At 42.3% G+C, this 18,119-nt stretch overlaps 1 protein-coding gene across 4 annotated transcripts in view; it reads left to right on the top strand.

Annotated features, from left to right (window-relative positions):
* RAB6A (RAB6A, member RAS oncogene family) overlaps positions 1 to 18,119 on the top strand; it is an 85,437-nt gene that overhangs the window by 13,866 nt on the left and 53,452 nt on the right. For all 4 annotated transcript variants that reach the window (NM_001243718.2, NM_198896.2, NM_002869.5 and 1 more), the window contains exon 2: positions 16,386 to 16,444. In NM_001243718.2, coding sequence (NP_001230647.1) covers positions 16,386 to 16,444 — 59 coding nt within the window. The remainder of the gene's footprint in view (positions 1 to 16,385; positions 16,445 to 18,119) is intronic.

Genomic DNA, 18,119 nt, shown 5'->3' with positions numbered 1-18,119 from the left:
GGAAGATTTTGTCTTAGAGGAAGCCAGGTAAAAGGTGTACTGAAATTCTCTGTACTATTTTTATAGCTTTTCTATAAGCCAAAAAAATTTCCAAATAGAATGTTAAAACAGTCGTATGGCTGGTTGGGGTGGCTCATGTCTGTAATCCCAGCACTTTGGGAGGCCGAAACGCTTGAACCCGGGAGGTGGAGGTTGCAGTGCGCCGAGATTGCACCACCACACTCCAGCCTGAGTGACAGAGCGAGACTCCGTCTCAAAAACAACAACAACAAAAAACAGTCCTACTACGTGTACTACTGTTATTCTGATTTTACCGTGAGGAAATTGAGGCACAGAGAGATTAACTAACTTGTCTCATGGTTGCGTGGTTAGTAAGTAGGCAAGCTGGGATTTCAACCCAGTAGTCTGGTTCTACAACTCACTTTTTTTTTTTTTTTTAATTTATTTCGAGGCAGAGTTTTGCTACGTCTCCCTGGTTGGAGTGTGATGGTAGTGTGATCACTGCTCACTGCAGCCTCAGTCTCCTGGGCTTAGGCAATCCTCTCACCATAGCTGGGAATACAGGTGTGTACCACCATCCCCAGCTAAATTTTTTTATTTTTAGCAGAGATGAGGTCTTGCTGTGTTTCCAGGCTGGTTTTGAACTCCTGTGCTCAACTGATCCTCCTGCCTTGGCCTCCCAAAGTGCTGGTTTTTTTTAAGAGACAGAGTCTCACTCTGTCACCTAGGCTGGAGTGTAGTGGCACAATCATAGCACACTGACTTTGAACCCCTGGGCTCAAGTGTTTCTTCTGCCTCAATTTCCCTAGTATTTGGGACTACAGGCATGTGCCACTGTGCCTGGCTATTTTTTGTGTGTGTGTATAGAGAAAATGTTTGATTGATATGTAGTATACATAGAAGCATATAAATCATAAATATACAGCTTGAATGAGAAAAATTGATGAATATTCTCATTCTTACAAAAGTTATTTCTTACTATAAATTAGAAAATTTGACTTTTTTTCTTTTCTCTTTAGCTTACAACAGCTTTTTTTTTTTCTTTTAAATTGATGGGGTCTCTGTTGGCCAGGCTGCTCTTGAACTCCCTGGGCTCAAGTGATCCTCTCACTCAGCCTCCTGAGTAGTTAGCTGGGACTACTGGTGCGAACTCTGCACTTGACTGATCTTCATTGTTTTGTATCTCTATTTCTTTCTTTCTTTTTTTTTTTGAGATGGAGTCTCACTCTTGCCCAGGCTGGAGTGCAGTGGCGCAGTCTCAGCTCACTGCAACCTCTGCCTCCAGGGTTTAAGCGATTCTTGTGCCTCAGCCTGCTGAGTAGCTGGGACTACAGATGCGTGCCACCACCATGTCCTGCTAATTTTTTTATTTTTTTTGAGATGGAGTTTCACTCTGTCACCCAGGCTGGAGTCCAGTGGAGTGATCTTGGCTCACTGCAACTTCTGCCTCCCGGGTTCGAGCAGTTTTCCTGCCTCAGCCTCCTTGGTAGCTGGGATTACAGGCACACGCCACCATGCCTGACTAAGTTTTTATATTTTTAGTAGAGACAGGGTTTCACCATGTTGGCCAGCCTGGTCTCAAACTCCTGACCTCAGATGATCCACCCATCTCATTTTTGAATTTTTAATAGAGACAAGGTTTCACCATGTTGGTCAGGCTGGTCTCAAACTCCCGACCTCAAGTGATCCACCTGCTTCAGCCTCCCAAAGTACTGGGATTATAGGCGTTAGTCACTGCACCCGGCCTGTGTCTCTATTTCTTAAGGTTAATTTTATGTCTCTGTGAGTTGTATCCACTTTCATTTTTCTAAGAATGCAAAGTTGTTTTAGGCCAAACTCTGGACCACATTAACTGCCTAAAGTACTGAATGAAGTCTACTTGGTGAAGTTTCTCTCCATTGGTTAATTAATTCATTCAGTGCCAGGCAGAAACTGACTCTCTGAGTATACAGCTATGAACAAGAAAAATACAGTTCTTGTTTCTTATTTTATCGTGTGTAGTTGAGAGAGGTAAACTAGTAAATAAATGCATTAACAAGATACTTTGAGATAGTGTTAATGTGTTTATTATATTACCAATTTTTCCTATTTTTTCCCATAAGAAAAGATGGATCATGCTTTATTTAAAATTTCTACACTTAAGTGTTTGAGTGAAATAATGCTGATAAAGTGAGTCTTGTGCTAGTAGTCAGTCTTATGCCAGTACTCTTTACTCTTTTTTTTTTTTTTTCTTTTGAGATGGATTCTCGCTCTGTCACCAGGCTGGAGTGCAGTGGCGCGATCTCGGCTCACTGCAACCTCCACTTCCCGGGTTCAAGCGATTCTCCTGCCTCAGCCTCCTGAGTAGCTGGGACTACAGGTGTGCATCACCATGCCCAGCTAATTTTTGTATTTTTAGTAGAGATGGGGTTTCACCATGTTGGCCAGGATGGTCTCGATCTCTTGACCTCATGACCTGCCCGCCTCGGCCTCCCAAAGTGTTGGGATTACAGGCGTAAGCCACCGCGCCCAGCCCCAGTGCTTATTTTGAACTTTCCACTGGAATATTCTTTTAGAGTGCAAACTATTTTGATTTCTCTTTTTGTCCTTATGATACAATTATAAAAGTATGTTGACTTTGTTGTAGGAGTAAAATAAAAGTCCTGCTGCCATCTAAAATTCTTTTTTTTTTTTTTTTTTTTTTTTTTTTTTTTTTTTGGAGACAGGGTCTCACTCTGTTGCCCAGGCTGGAGTGCAGTGGTGTCATCACAGTATACTACAGCCTTGACCTCCTGGGCTCAAGTGATACTCCTCCCTCAGCCTCCTGAGTAGCTGGGACCACAAGCATGTGCTACTACATGTGGCTAATTTAAATTTTTTTTTTTTTTTTTTGAGATGGAGTCTCCCTTTGTCACCCAGGCTGGAGTGCATTGGTGCGATCTCGGCTCACTGCAACCTCCACCTCCCGAGTTCACGCCATTCTCCTGCCTCAGCCTCCCGAGTAGCTGGGACTACAGGCGCCCACCACCATGCCCGGCTAATTTTTTGTATTTTTAGTAGAGACAGGGTTTCACTGTGTTAACCAGGATGGTCTCCATCTCTTGACCTCGTGATCCACCCGCCTCAGCCTCCCAAAGTGCTGAAATTACAGGCGTGAGCCACTGCGCCCGTCCAGTTTAAAATTTTTTGTAGAGATAGGGTCTTGCCATGTTGTCCATGTTGAACTTTTGGGCTCAAGTGATCCCTGCCTCAGCCTCTCAAAATGCTGGGATTGCAGGCATGAGCCATGGCACCTGGCTGATCTAAAATTCTTAGAGAGATGCAATCTTAGGCTGAAAGTAATTTAGAAAGATAATTTAGTTTTTTTTCCTTCAGGCAGAACCATATCTGATATCAATTTTATGAGCTAATAATGTAACCAGGAAAGAAAAGTTTCACAAAATTGTGTTATGTGAGCAAGGGTTCAGAGCCTCTAAAGTACATAGTATGCTTGGAGAATAATGAATAGCCTTCTGTAATTGGCAGATGAGGTTTATGTTTGTTAAAGGTGTGAGATGAGACTGGAGGCTAGGCTCAGAATTAAGTGTTTTTTTTTGGTTGGTGGTTTTTTTCTGAGACAGGATCTCGCCATATTGCCCAGGCTGCAGTGATCCTGTCTCACTGAAGCCTCAGTCTCCTGGGCTCAAGTGATCCTCCCACCTGATACTCTTGAGTAGTTGGGACTACAGGCACACACCACCACACCTGGCTTCAAACTCAAGTTTGACATAAAGGTCCTTGATGACCTGCTAAAAGTTTAACATTATCTTACGGATACTGGGGACCCCTGCAATGTTTTATAAATTGAAGAAGGATACCTCTGCTAGTATGGAGGTTGGACACTGACAGTGCTTTCTTTCTTTTTTCTCTTTTTTTTTTTTTTTTTGAGACAGAGTTTCGCTCTGTTGATCAGGCTGGAGTGCGGTGGCGCAATCTTGGGTCATTGCAACCTCCGCCTCCCAGGTTCAAGTAGTTCTCCTGCCTCAGCCTCTGGAGTAGCTGGGATTACAGGTGCCCACCACAAGATCTGGCTAATTTTTTTTGTGTGTGTATTTTTAGTAGAGATGGGGTTTCACTATGCTGCCCAGGCTGGTCTCAAACTCGAGTGATCTGCCCGTCTTGGCCTCCCAAAGTGCTGGGATTACAGGCGTGAGCCACCGTGCTTGGCCTTACAGTGCTTTCTTATCTTGTTCACTCTCTTGTATGTGTGCATATTTGTTTTCTTCAGTGGATTGTAAGCTCCTTTCAGGTCAGGGCTTTACTCGTATTTGTTTTTGCATTCTTATCCCCCAACCTCCTTATTTCCTAGCATTTAATAGTTTTGGAATGAAGTGAGAAATAGCCATTTGAGCATTGATGTATTTGTTTACTTTTTTTTTTTGAGACAGATTTTCATTCTTGTTGCCCAGGCTGGAGTCAATGGGGCAATCTCGATTCACTGCAACCTCCATCTCCCGAGTTCAAGCGATTCTCCTGCCTCAGCCTCCCAAGTACTGGGATTATAGGCATGTGCTACCACGCCCAGCTAATTTTGTATTTTTAGTAGCGACGGGGTTTCTCCGTGTTGGTCAGGCTGGTCTTGAACTCCTGACCTCAGGTGATCCACCTGCCTCAGCCTCCCAGTGTGTTGGGATTACAGGCGTGAGCCACCACGCCTGGCCCATTTTTCTTTGATAAGAGTAATCAGTAGTCTGTCTTTACCATTATGTATCTTTCTTATCTGCAGCTTTTATGTAGTTAAACAAGTTTTTTTGTCTGCGTGTGGTGGATCACGCCTGTAATCCCAGCACTTTGGGAAGCTTAGGCGAGAGGATCACTTGAATCCAGGAGTTTGAGACAAGGCTGGGCAGCCATAGCCAGACCCTGTTTCTATTTTGTTTTATTATTATTTATTTATTTATTTATTTTTGAGACAGAGTCTCGCTCTGTCGCCCAGGCTGGAGTGCAGTGGCACAATCTCAGCTCACTGCAACCTCTGCCTCCTGGGTTCAAGCAATTCTCCTGCCTCAGCCTCCCAAGTAGCTGGGGTTACAGGTGCCCACCACCACACCCAGCTAATTTTTGTATTTTTAGTAGAGACAGGGTTTCACCATATTGACCAGGCTGGTCGTGAACCTCTGACCTCAAGTAATCCACCTGCCTCAGCCTCCCAACGTGCTGGAATTACAGGCGTGAGCCACCATGCCCAGCCTATTTTATTTTTTCTTTTTTAATTTTGTTTTTCTTTTTAAATCACATTCCCTTCTTGTCCCTATATGTCTCCTGGAGGCAGGAGATATATAGGAAATATCAGTAAGTGCCTCTCAATTTTGCTGTGAACCTAAAACTGATCTAAAAAATTAAATCTTAAAAAATTTCATTTCATTTTGTTTTAATTTTTTATTTCTTTTTGTCTTTTCCAGAATATTATGTAGTTGGATCATGTATGCATTCCTTTCGAGATAAGATATTTTCATTTAATAGTTCACATTAGGTTCTGGCATGTCTTTCTATGATTTGATAGCTTATTTCTTTTTGGTGCTGAATAATACTCAATTGTGTGGATATACCACAGTTTGTGTATCCATTCACCTACTGAAGGACATTTTGGTTGCTTTCAAGTTTTGCCAGTTACTAATAAAAAGCAGCTGTAAACATACATGTACGTCCTTTTTTTTTTTCTTGTGCAGATTTTTGTGTGGACATGTTTTCAGCTCTTTTGGGTAAATACCAAGGAGCATGGTCGCTGGATCATATGGTAAGAGTATATTTTGGGCCAGGCACGGTGGCTCACGCCTATAATCTTAGCACTTTGGGAGGCCGAGGTGGGTGGATCACCTTAGGTCAGGAGTTCAAGACCAGCCTGGCCAACATGGTGAAACCCCGTCTCTACTAAAAATACAAAAAATTAGCCAGGCGTGGTGGCATGCACCTGTAATCCCAGCTGATTGGGAGGCTGAGGCAGGAGAATGGCGTGAACCCGGGAGGTGGAGCTTGCAGTGAGCCGAGATTGCGCCACCGCATTCCAGCCTGGGCGACAGAGCAAGACTCTGTTGGGGGGGTGGGGGGAAGGAGTATATTTTGTTTTGTCAGGTAAATATTTTTTGTTTTTACTTTGGATGTCTCTATTTCATCATGCTGGAAACTCATACTGTAGATCTAATAAATATTATTGTGGAGAAACCACTTTTATTAAAAACAACTTTTGAGCCATAGATGTGAAATTACTTATTTTAACAAATTTTCTATACAACCACATTCATTCTCTCCATTTTTAAATACGACTGTACAGGTGTAGTGTAGTTTTTTTTTTTCTTTTTTTTAAAGACAGAGTCTCACTCTGTTGCCCAGGCTGGAGTGCACTGGCGTGATCTCGGCTCACTGCAACCTCTGCCTCCCAGGTTTAAGCGATTGTCCTGCCTCAGCCCCCCCGAGTAGCTGGATTACAGGCGCATGCCATCACGCCTGGCCAATTTTGTATTTTTAGTAGAGACGGGGTTTCACCATGTTGGCCAGGTTAGTCTCAAACTCCTGACCTCAGGTGATCCGCCTGCCTTGGCCTCCCAAAGTGCTGGGATTACCGGCGTGAGCCGCTGCTCCTGGCCAGCTAGTTTTTTTTTTTTTAAATTAACTTTAGGAGAAACAAAAAATCTTGATTCAATTTAGGTCTTTTAGAGAAAGGCTACTAGATTTTTAAACTTTAGTTTTATTGACTAGGTAAGTTACACTGAAGTAGCATTAGCTTGGTTTATTTGATTTTGTTTTCCTCTAGAATTGCATCACCTAGGTGAGACGCCCTTGGATATGATATTGCAGTGAGGTTTGCTTGCAGCTGAGCTTTTCTGTTGTGATCCCTAGGTACTTTTCTCAACTGTCTTTGTTACCAGGATGGAACAATGACTAGATAGTGTCTTTTGCTTGGCTTTGTTACTACAATCATAGCATATGATTTAAGCTACCATTATCATAGCGGATTAATTTTTTATAGTGTTTTTTTGTGGGAAAAAGTAAAAAATATAAATATCTAATTGGTCTAGTTCAATACTATCTGGCCAATGTTATTGACCAAGAATTATGAAGCAGGTCAGAATTTATCATAGTTATAGATTGTAGACTAATTGAGTCCTCTCTTTTTTTTTTTTTTCTTTTTTTTGAGACAGAGTCTTGCTCTGTTGCCCAGGCTGGACTGCAGTGGCGCAGTCTCGGCTCACTGCAACCTCTGCCTCCCAGGTTCAAGCGATTCTCCTGCCTCAGTCTCCTGAGTAGCTGGGACTACAGGTGTGTGCCACCAAGCCCAGCTAATTTTTTGTATTTTTAGTAGAGATGGGGTTTCACTGTGTTAGCCAGGGTGGTGGTCTCCATCTCCTGACTTTGTGATCTGCCCGCCCGGGCCTCCCAAAGTGCTGGGATTACAGGCATGAGCCACCGGGCCCGGCCTGAGGCTTCTCTTTTTTATGCAAATACCAGTCTTAGATTGTGTGAATCCTAGGTATCCTTCAAGAGTATATTATGTGAGGACTTACTTTGCCACTTATAAAACTTATCTTTTAAATTAATATCCCTCGGTTTTCTTGAGGCCCCAATAATTAGTTTATCTAACTTTTAATAATCAACCTTAGAGGTGGCAGGATTTCTTGAGCCCAAGGACTTGGCACTGCAGTGAGCCATGATTGGTGTCACTGCACTCCAGCCTGAGACAGAACAAGACCCTGATTCAAAAAAATAAAAAATAAAAAATCAGGCTGAGTGCACTGGTGGCTCATGACTCATCCCAGCATTTGGGAGGCTGAGGCGGGAAGATCACTTGAGCCCAGGAGTTCGAGACCAACCTGGGCAATATAGTGACACCCCATCTCTTAAAAAATTTTTTAGTTTACTTTTTAGTTATCTTTGGTGTTCCAGTATTTATATATATATATATATATATTTTTTTTTTTTTTTTTTTTTTAATTATTATTACTATTTTTTTTTTGCAGTCTTGCTCTGTCTCCCAGGCCAGAGTGCAGTGCTGTGATCTTGGCTCCCTGCAGCCTCCACTTCCCAGGTTCAAGCGATTCTTGTGCCTCAGCATCCTGAGTACTAGACCTGCCTAATTTTTGTATTTTTAGTAGAGATAGGATTTCACCACGTTGGCCAGGCTGATCTTGAACTCCTGACCTCAAGTGATCTGCCCACCTCAGCCTCCCAAAGTGCTGGGATTACAGGCATGAGCCACTGTGCCCAGCCCCAATATTAGTTTAGTTTAGTTTAGTTTAGTTTTGTTTTTTGAGACAGGAGTCTCACTCTGTTGCCCAAGCTGGAGTGCAGTGGCGCAGTCTTGGCTCACTGCAGCCTCCGACTCCCAGGCTCAAGCAATCATCTGGGCTCAGCCTCTCAAGTAACTGGGACTACAGGTGTGTGCCACTATGCTGGGTAATTTTTGTATTTTTAGTAGAGACGGGGTTTTGCCATGTTGCCCAGGCTGGCCTCAAACTCCTGACCTCAAGTGATCTGCCTGCCTCGGCCTACCAAAGTGCGACCGCTCCTGGCCTCAATATTGGATATTTATTTTATTTTTTACTTTGAGACAGGATCTTACCCTGTTGCCAGGGCTGGAGTGCAGTGGCACTATCACAGTTTATAGTAGTTGCAAACTCCTGGGCTTGAATCTTCCTGCCTCAACCTCCCAAGTAGCTGGGGCTACAGGTCTACTCCACTGTGCTTGGCTAAATTTCTTTTTAAATGTTTTTGGAGATGGAGTTTTGCTTTGTTGCCCGGCTAGCCTTGGACTCCTTGCCTCAAGCATCCTCCAGTTTCAGCTTCCCGAGTATCTGGGATTACAGGCAAGAGCCACTGTCCCTGACCATTTTAGCCATTTTTAAGTGTGTAGTTCAGTGGCATTAAGAACATTCACATTGTAGTACCGGCTAGGCATGGTGCCTCACGACCATAATCCTGGTACTTTGGGAGGCCGTGGTGGGAGGATTGCTTGAGCTCAGGAGTTCAAAACCAGCTTGGGCAACTTAGTGAGACCTTGTCTCTATTAAAAATAAATAAATAAGTAAAAAATAAATAAAAAATAACATTCACATTTAGTACAACCATCACCTGCATAAATTTTTATAACAACTTTATGGAGCTAAAGTTTACATATCATATAATTTACTTGTATCAAGTATACAGTTTAGTGGTTTTTAGTATATATTAATAACATGTGGTCTTTTTTTTTTTTTTTTTTGAGATGGAGTCTCCCTCTGTTGCCCAGGCTGGAGTGCATGGTGTGATCTCGGCTCACTGCAACCTCCGCCTCCCGGGTTCAAGCAATTCTTTGCCTCAGCCTCCCGAGTAGCTGGGATTACAGGCGCCCACCACCACGCCCAGCTAATTTTTGTATTTTTTTTAAGTAGAGACGGGGTTTCACCATGTTGGCCAGGCTGGTCTTGAACTCCTGACCTCATGATCCACCCGCCTTGGCCTCCCAAAGTGCTGGGATTACAGGCGTGAGTCACCATGCCCGGCAATAATATGTGGTCTTTAGTGACTGATCTCTTTCAGTTAGTGTAGTGTTTTCAAGGTTCATTTGTTTTGAAGCATATTATCAATACTTCATCCCATTGTATCTGTGTACCACGTTTTGTTTATTAGTTGATGGACATTTGGCTTGTTTCTGCACTTTGGCTCTTATGGGTAGTGCTTGCCATATGTTATAATGATTTCATTATCATTTAGCTCAAATGATGATGAGTTTTAGAAACAGGGTCTTGCTCTGTCACCCAGGCTGGAGTGCAGTGGTGTGATCATAGCTCACTGCAGCCTCAAACTCCTAGGTTCAAGCAATCCTTCTGCTTCGGCCTGCCAAGTAGGGGACTACAGGTGCATGCCACCACACTCTAGTAAATTTTAAATTTTTTGTAGAGATAGGGTCTCGCTTATTTGCCCAGGCTGATCTCGAACTCCTGTATTCACTCGATCCTCCTCAGCCTCCCAAAGTGATGGGATTACATACACGAGCCAACACACCAAGCCTAAATTTCCATTGTGAGTTCTTCTTGAACCTCTGGGTTAGAAGTACATTATGTTATTTCCAAACATTTCAACATTTTCTGGATATCTTTTAGTTGTAAATTTCTTGTTCAGTTTCACTGAGGGCAGATAATACGTTCTATATGATTTCAAACATTTGAAATTTGTTGAGACTTGCTTTGTGTCCCAGCACTTGTTTTCTTTCTTTCTTCTTTTTTTTTTTTTTTTTTTTGAGACAGTGTCTCGCTGTGTCACCCAGGCTGGACTGCAGTGGCATGATCACGGTTCATTGTAGCTTTGACCTCCTGGGCTCAAGCAATCCTCCCACCTTAGCCTCTCAAGTGTCTGGGACAACAGTATGTACCACCATGCCTGGCTAATTGTTTTTTTTTTTTTTTTTCTTTTTTTTTTCTTTCTCGAGATGAAGTCTCACTGTGTTGCACAGGCTGGAGTGCAGTGGCACAGTCTTGGCTCACTGTAACCTTTGCCTCCCAGGATTAAGTGATTGTCCTGCCTCAGCCTCCGGAGTAGCTGGGATTACAGGCATGAGCCACAATGCCTGGCTAATTTTTGCATTTTTAGTACAGACAGAATTTCACCATGCTGGCCAGGCTGGTCTCAAACTCCTGACCTCAGGTGATCTACCCACCTTGGCCTCCCAAAGTGCTGGGATTACAGGCGTGAGCCACACCGCGCCTGGCCAACTGTACTTGTTTTCAATTAGGAGATACCTTCATCTAGAATTACTTTCACTGGTGAATTTCTTTTTCTTTTTTTTTTGGAGACAGAGTCTTTCTCTGTTGCCCAGGCTGGAGTGCAGTGGCACAATCTCGGCTCACTGCAACCTCCGCCTCCCGGGTTCAAGTGATTTCCCTGCCTCAGCCTCCCAAGTAGCTCAGATTGTGGGTCTCTGCCACCACACCCGGCTGATTTTTGTATTTTTAGTAGAGATGGGGTTTCACCATGTTGGCCAGGCTGATCTGAAACTCCTGACCTCAAGTCATCTGCCCGCCTTGGCCTCTCAAAGTGCTGAGATTACAGCCATGAGCCACCGCACCTGGCCTTAAAACGGTGAATTTCTCATATCTGTAATCCCAGCACTTTCCACCTGTATCGTCTGCTACTCTGGAGGCTAAGGTCAGAGGATTATTTCAACCCAGGAGGTTGAGGCCATGGTGAGCCACGATCATGCCACTGCACTCTGTTTCCAAAAAAAAAAAAGTAGGTGAATTGTATGGTATGTGATTTATCTCTCTCTGTCTCTCTCTCTCTTTTTTTTTTTTTTTTTTAAGGCAAGGTTGGGATTCCAGAAACTGCCTCCTCAAATACTGCTTATTCTCTCAAATAGACTTTTGAGGTTGGGATAGGTTTGATATTAGCAGCAAAATCCTGTAAGAGGGCCTGTAACTTCAAGATTATGTCCTGCATATGGGTTATTACAGATTTACTTGTCTGATTTATTGTTGAAGAATTTAGGTAATCTCGTATATAAGTAGAGTTACGTATTTAAATTTATTTCTTTCCAAATAAGATTGGAAAAATAAATAAAGCTTCCTAAGTTAGCTCTCTAATACTCATGGTCCTTGTTAAAGGCCTGAGATACCTTCTTTTTCTTCTAGCTAAAGTCTCCTTCAGACCTCATGTTTAAAGTTATTTTTCTCTGGAAAGTTTTTCTTTACCTTCTAGCCTTATAATAGAAGACTGCCCCCATTCACAACATGCTCTTGTACTTTTTATCACTCTGCAGTAACTTTTTGTCTCTCTGACTTAACCTTAGCAAGTACTATGTTCTGATTGTTTTTATATCCCCAGCATTTTTCAGTCCCTGGCATTTAGTATGTTCTCATTAAAAGGAAGAAATATAAGTGAGTAGGATCATTTTTCTATTATATTTGCCCTGGGCTACAAAAGTTTCAAAGATTGAGCCCTATCATTTGAATTAGAATTTATACCCAAGTTGTTTGCCAGTGGTTGTTAATACAGTCAAATGGAATGTGAATCCTACTGAGATCATTGTTGTGTCTGGCCTTCACAGAATTGCAAGAGTGTGTAATTAGCATGGTGCAGATGGTGTGATTTTAGGAATGTTATTATAAATGTTGAAATTGTGCTAGAATTTCTATTTTGTTTCTGGAGATTGCATTGAGGCAGCATAGTGAATGCAAATGTAGTTATTAAGAGATGATTTACAAATACATGCATCAAAATTTTATATTTAAACATGACTTTCAAAGGAAATGCTCATTGGAGCATTTCTCATTTCAGGCTTTTGGATTAAGGATGCTCAAGTATAATGCAAATTTTCTAAAATCTGAAATATTTATGGTTCTGAGCATTTTGGTTAAGAGATACTCAACTTGTAGTTGTCTTGTTCCTACCTACTTTTACTGAGAGACACTCTCCTTTAGTTTTTTTTCTCCTAGATTTTAGATTACTCCTGTTAGGAACCAGGCCTCACGGCAGGAGGTAAGCAGTGGGCCTGAGCTCCACCTCCTGTCAGATCAGTGCTGGCATTAGATTCTCATAGGAGCGAGAACCCTATAGTGAACTGTGCATGTGAGGGATCTAGGTTGCATGCTCCTTATGAGAATCTAATGCCTGATGATCTGAGGTAGAACAGTTTCATCCTGAAACCATCCACCGTTCCTCCTCCCCAACTCCCACAGAAAAACTGTCTTCCATGAAACTGGTCCCTGGTGCCAAAAAGATTGGTGACTGCTACTGTAGATTTATCTCCAATTTGGGTTTGCCATTTTTTTTTCTCACTATTAAACTGGATAAACTGGCCAGGTGCGGTGGCTGAAGCCTGTAATCCCAGCTCTTTGGGGGGCTGAGGCAGGTATATCACCTGAGGTCAGGAGTTTGAGACCAGCCTGGCCAACATGGTGAAACTCTGTCTCTACTAAAAATACAAAAACTAGCTGGGCGTGGTGGCGGGCGCCTGTAATCTCAGCTACCCAGGAGGCTGAGGCAGGAGAATCGCTTGACCCCAGGAGGTGAAGGTTGCAGTGAGCTGATATCGTGTCACTGCACTCCAGCCTGGGCGACAGAGTGAGACCCCGTCTCAAAAACAAACAAAAACTTGATAAACTGGGTAAATTCTTCTCCGTTATTAAACTGGAGTTTTTTTCACTTCACAAGGTGAAGTGCCCTTCTTGTCACAGTATATCAGGGGTTCTTGATAGCCACATACATATATACACTTTTTATTGGGAATGATACATATATAGTAAAGTGTTTTACTCTTTGAGAAAAAGATTTTATTTTAAAGTATAACATCCAGTAAAGGGCACAAAGTAGACAAATCTTAAATATATGGCTTGTTGGAAATTTTACTTTTTTATTCACCTTTGTAATGATTAATACCAGCACTTAGAAGATTCCTTGGCTCCCTTTCTCAGTTAGAAACCCCTTACAACTTTTCTTGACTTCTATCAGCATTAATTCTACCAGTTTTGAACGTCATATAAATAGAATTACAGAGTATATATTCTTTTGTATCTGGTCTCTTTCACTCTATGTAGTGTCTGAAATTTGTTCATACAATTTTACATGTTAGGATATTTTGTCATTGTAATATTTCATTTTATGACTATGCCACAATTTGTCCATTCTCTTTATTTATTTATTTATTTTTATTTATTTATTTTTTTTTTTTTGAGATGGTGTCTCACACCCTGTCGCCCAGGCTGGAGTGCAGTGGCATGATCTCGGCTCACTGTAACCTCCACCTCCTGGGTTCAAACGATTCTCCTGCCTCAGTCTCCTGCGTAGCTGGGATTACAGGCGCGCATCACCACACCCGGCTAATTCTTGTATTTTTAGTAGAAATGAGGTTTTGCCATGTTGGCCAGGCTGATCTCAAACTCCTGACTTCAGGTGATCTGCCTGCCTCAGCCTCCCAAAGTGTTGGGATTACAGCTGTGAGCCACCGCGCCTGGCCTAAAATACAGCTGGAGAATTAATTCCAGCAAGGGATGGCTTGATGATTTTTGAAAGACTTGGCTTAAAACAACAACAACAAAAAAATCAATGTAACAGCAGAAGCAGCTTCTGCCAACCAAGACAAGTTTCCAGATGCCATGAAGAAAATAATTGAGGCCAGATGTGGACGCTCATGCTTGTAATCCCAGCACTTTGGGAGGTCAAGGCAGGCGGATCATGAGGTCAGGAGTTTGAGACCAGCCAGGCGAACATAGTGAAACCCTGTCTCTACTAAAAGTAAAAAAATTAGCCAGGCATGGTGGCACACGCCTGTAATCTCAGATACTCGGGAGGCTGAGACAGGAGAATTGCTTGAACCCAGGAGGTGGACGTTGCAGTGAGCCGAGATCGCGTCACTGCACTCCAGCCTGGGTGACAGAGCAAGACATCGTCTCGGGGGAAAAAAAAGAAAATCACTGAGGAGAAAGGATAGCTGCCTGAACAGATCTGTTTGTTTGTTTGCTTTGAGACAGAGTCTCACTGTGTCGCCCAGACTGTAGTACAGTGGTGCACTCTCAGCTCACTGCAATCTCTGCCTCCCAGATTCAAGCGATTCTGTTGCCTGAGCCTCCCAAGTAGCTGGGTTTACAAGGCGCACTCCCCCACGCCCGGCTGATTTATTTATTTATATATATTTTTTGAGACAGAGTCTCGCTCTGTCACCCAGTCTGGAGCGCGGTGGCGCAGTCTCGACTCACTGCAAGCTCTGCCTCCCGGGTTCACGCCATTCTCCTGCCTCAGCGTCCCAAGTAGCTGAGACTACAGGTGCCCGCCACCACGCCTGGCTAATTTTTTGTATTTTTAGTAGAGATGGAGTTTCACCATGTTAGCCAGGATGGTCTCAATCTCCTGACCTCGTGATCCGCCCGCCTCGGCCTCCCAAAGTGCTGGGATTACAGGCGTGAGCCACCGCACCCGGCCTTTTAGGTATGGTTCTTATCCTCCCAAAAAGTACATTTTGGGAGTATTGGAGATGTTGATTTACCCAGTTCCTTTCTAATTGATAAGGTTTTTTTTGCATTCATTTTGTATTTTGAGTCTGTGTCAAGCCACTGGCAAAATAGAAAAATAATCAGATATGGTTTTTGCCCTTGGAGAATGTGCTTATTGGTAAAGAAATTGCCAGCATTCCACTACTTTTGACCTCATGACACTTTCATATGGATTAACCTAAAAATATCAATACAGTCCAGACACAGTGGTGCACGCCTATAATCTCAGCACTTTGGGAGGCCGAGGCGGGCGAATCACAGGGTCAAGAGATCAAGACCATCCTGGCCATGATGAAACCCCATCTCTACTAAAAATAACAAAAAATTAGCTCGGCATGGTGGCGTGCACCTGTAGTCCCAGCTATTTGGGAGGCTGAGGCAGGAGAATCGGTTGAACCCGGGAGGCGGAGGTTGCAGTGAGCCGAGATCTTCCCGCTGTACTCCAGCCTGGCAACAGAGCGAGACTGTCTAAAAAAAAAAGAAAATATGTGTGTGTGTGTGTATATATATATATATATATATATATATATATATATATATATATATATAATATCTATCTATCTATCTCACAATACAAAGTGAAGTTATGGATCTTTGGTAATTCTTTGCCAGAGAAGTAGAGAGTTCTATCTGGTTTTGAAATGAATTTTAAAACAGCTTTTCTTGTCAGTTTTTCTCACTTTTTTTTTTTTTTTGAGACGGAGTCTCTGTTGCCAGGCTGGAGTACAGTGGTGTGATCTCGGCTCACTGCAACCTCCATCTCCTAGGTTCAAGTTATTCTCCTGCCTCAGCCTTCCGAGTAGCTGGGACTACAGGCGTGCAACCACCCTGCCCAGCTAAGTTTTGTATTTTTAGTAGAGACACGATTTCACCATGTTGGCCAGGATGGTCTCGATCTCTTGACCTCGTGATCCACCCACGTTGGCCTCCCAAGGTGCTGGGATTACAGGCGTGAACCATCGCACCTGGCCAGTTTTTCTCACTCTTAAAACAGTGTAGTTCTTGTAGCCCTCATACCCCTTCTAAGACTATCTTTTGCCTTTCTACTCCCAGGGATTATACTTTGATTTGCTAGATGAAGTGGACCTAAGCCTCCATTAATTCTTTTTGTTAGGGCCAAGTAAGTGTTTACTTGGCCTTTTGTGAATTAGGAATGTCAGTATATAATAACAGAATGTTTTCAACTTTTAACTATAGACTGTTTACCTGTGCTTTTAAATTGGGAGATGGTTGTCTGTGTTTGGAGAAAGTCATTTTGACAATCTTGGGGCTATATGGGTTTTAATTATTCTTAGTAGAACCATTGCAGGTATTTCCCATTGACTTTAATTGCAGTTCTCTGTAGAAAAATTTTCTGAGAACCCAATGTAATGTGTTCACTGAGCAAATCTTTTTTTCGTTTCATTTCAGTTGGAAAGACATCTTTGATCACCAGATTCATGTATGACAGTTTTGACAACACCTATCAGGTATTTTGTTTTTGCCAATTTATTTGTTGTCTATTTTTTGTTACAAGTAATATTCAAGATATTTTTAAAAAATTATTTACTTGCAGTTGTGGATGTAAAAGTACTTTCTATAATCTGTAAAATGCTGTATAAATACAATGTGTAAATGATTTTGTCCAGTCCTAGGATAAACTTTTATCATTTGATTTCTTTTGTCTCTTCCAAAGTCTGTTGAAATATATCTCCAATATCATCTAGGATGGCATTAGAAGTAATGGTGGATATTCTCTATAGATTTTGTCCAAGCCTAGGATTCTGTGACATTTTTTATCTACATTTGAAATTAAGAATAAATGAATAATGAAATTAGAAATCATTAACAGAAGGATATTTGGCACATTCACAAATATGTGAAAATTAAATAATACACTCCTAAATAATTAATGTCAAAGATGAAATCACAAGAGAAATTAGAAAATGCTTTGAGATCAATAAAAAAGAAAACACAGCACACCAAAACTTATGGTATACAACTAAAGCAGTGCTATACAAAAAAGAAAAGAGATACTAAATAAATAGCCTAACATTCTACTTTAAGAAACTGGAAGAAAACTAAACCCAAAGCGACAGAAGGAAGAAGCTATTTTAAAATTTAGGTTTTATCATTATTCCTGTATGGTGAGGCCAATAGATCAGGAGATGATTGCCATTGAAAAGATAGTTTGTTATACTCACAGATCCCAAGAGAAGAGGGCATGCCATGCCAGAGGGGGCCACATGGGGAAGCACTGGGTCAGTTAAAAGGCAGGTGGCTGGGGAAATGTGGACAAAAGCCTTGATTGTGGTTTTCAGGGAAGAGGCACACAAGACAGGGTAAGCAGGTTTAGGATTAGCTAGTTCGGATAATTTCAGGGGTTCTGGGGTTGAGGGGCTGTTCCTGGTTGTCTAGTACCTGGCCCGGGTGATTAGGGCAGTGTAGTATTGGCCCTCAGTGTCATAGAGGAGGTGCTGGGGTATTGGCTTTGGATTGGTTGGTTTGCCTATGAAAGGAGTACTCAAAGGTGAGTTTACTATCTCTAATGAAAAAGCTAATCCTGGCAGGGGCAGTCCCTCCAGTGTCAGCAAGGACCCTGATGTCAAAACATCAAAACTATAGAAAGTAAAAAGACATGCTTAATACAGAAGTTAATAAAGGTTAAAGCAGAAATATATGAAAGAGAGAGCAGAAAAACAATGGAGGAAATCAATGAAACCAAAAGCAGTTCTTTGAAAAGATAAAAAAATTGACTAACTTTAGCTAGACTGACCAAGAAAAAAAAGAAGACTCAAGTTCTGAAATCAGAAAAGAGGGAATATTACCACCAACCATACAGAAATAAAAAGGGTTGACTGGGCGCAGTGGCTCATGCCTGTAATCCCAGCACTTTGGGAGGCTGAGGTGGGTGGATCACCTGAGGTCAGGAGTACAAGACCAGCTTGGCCAATATGGCAAAACTCCATCTCTACTAAGAATACAAAAATTAGCCAGGCATAATGGTGGGCGCCTGTAATCCCAGCTACTTGGGTGGCTGAGCCAGGAGAATCGCTTGAACCCAGGAGGCGGAGGTTGCAATGAGCTGAGATCATACCACTGCATTCCAGCCTGGGTGACAGAGTGAGACTCCATCTCAAAAATAAAATAAAATCAAAAGGGTTA

The sequence above is a fragment of the Homo sapiens genome, chromosome 11, assembly GCF_000001405.40.
Source record: "Homo sapiens chromosome 11, GRCh38.p14 Primary Assembly".
Taxonomy (NCBI): domain Eukaryota; kingdom Metazoa; phylum Chordata; class Mammalia; order Primates; family Hominidae; genus Homo; species Homo sapiens.
This window is presented reverse-complemented; position numbering and strand designations above follow the sequence as displayed.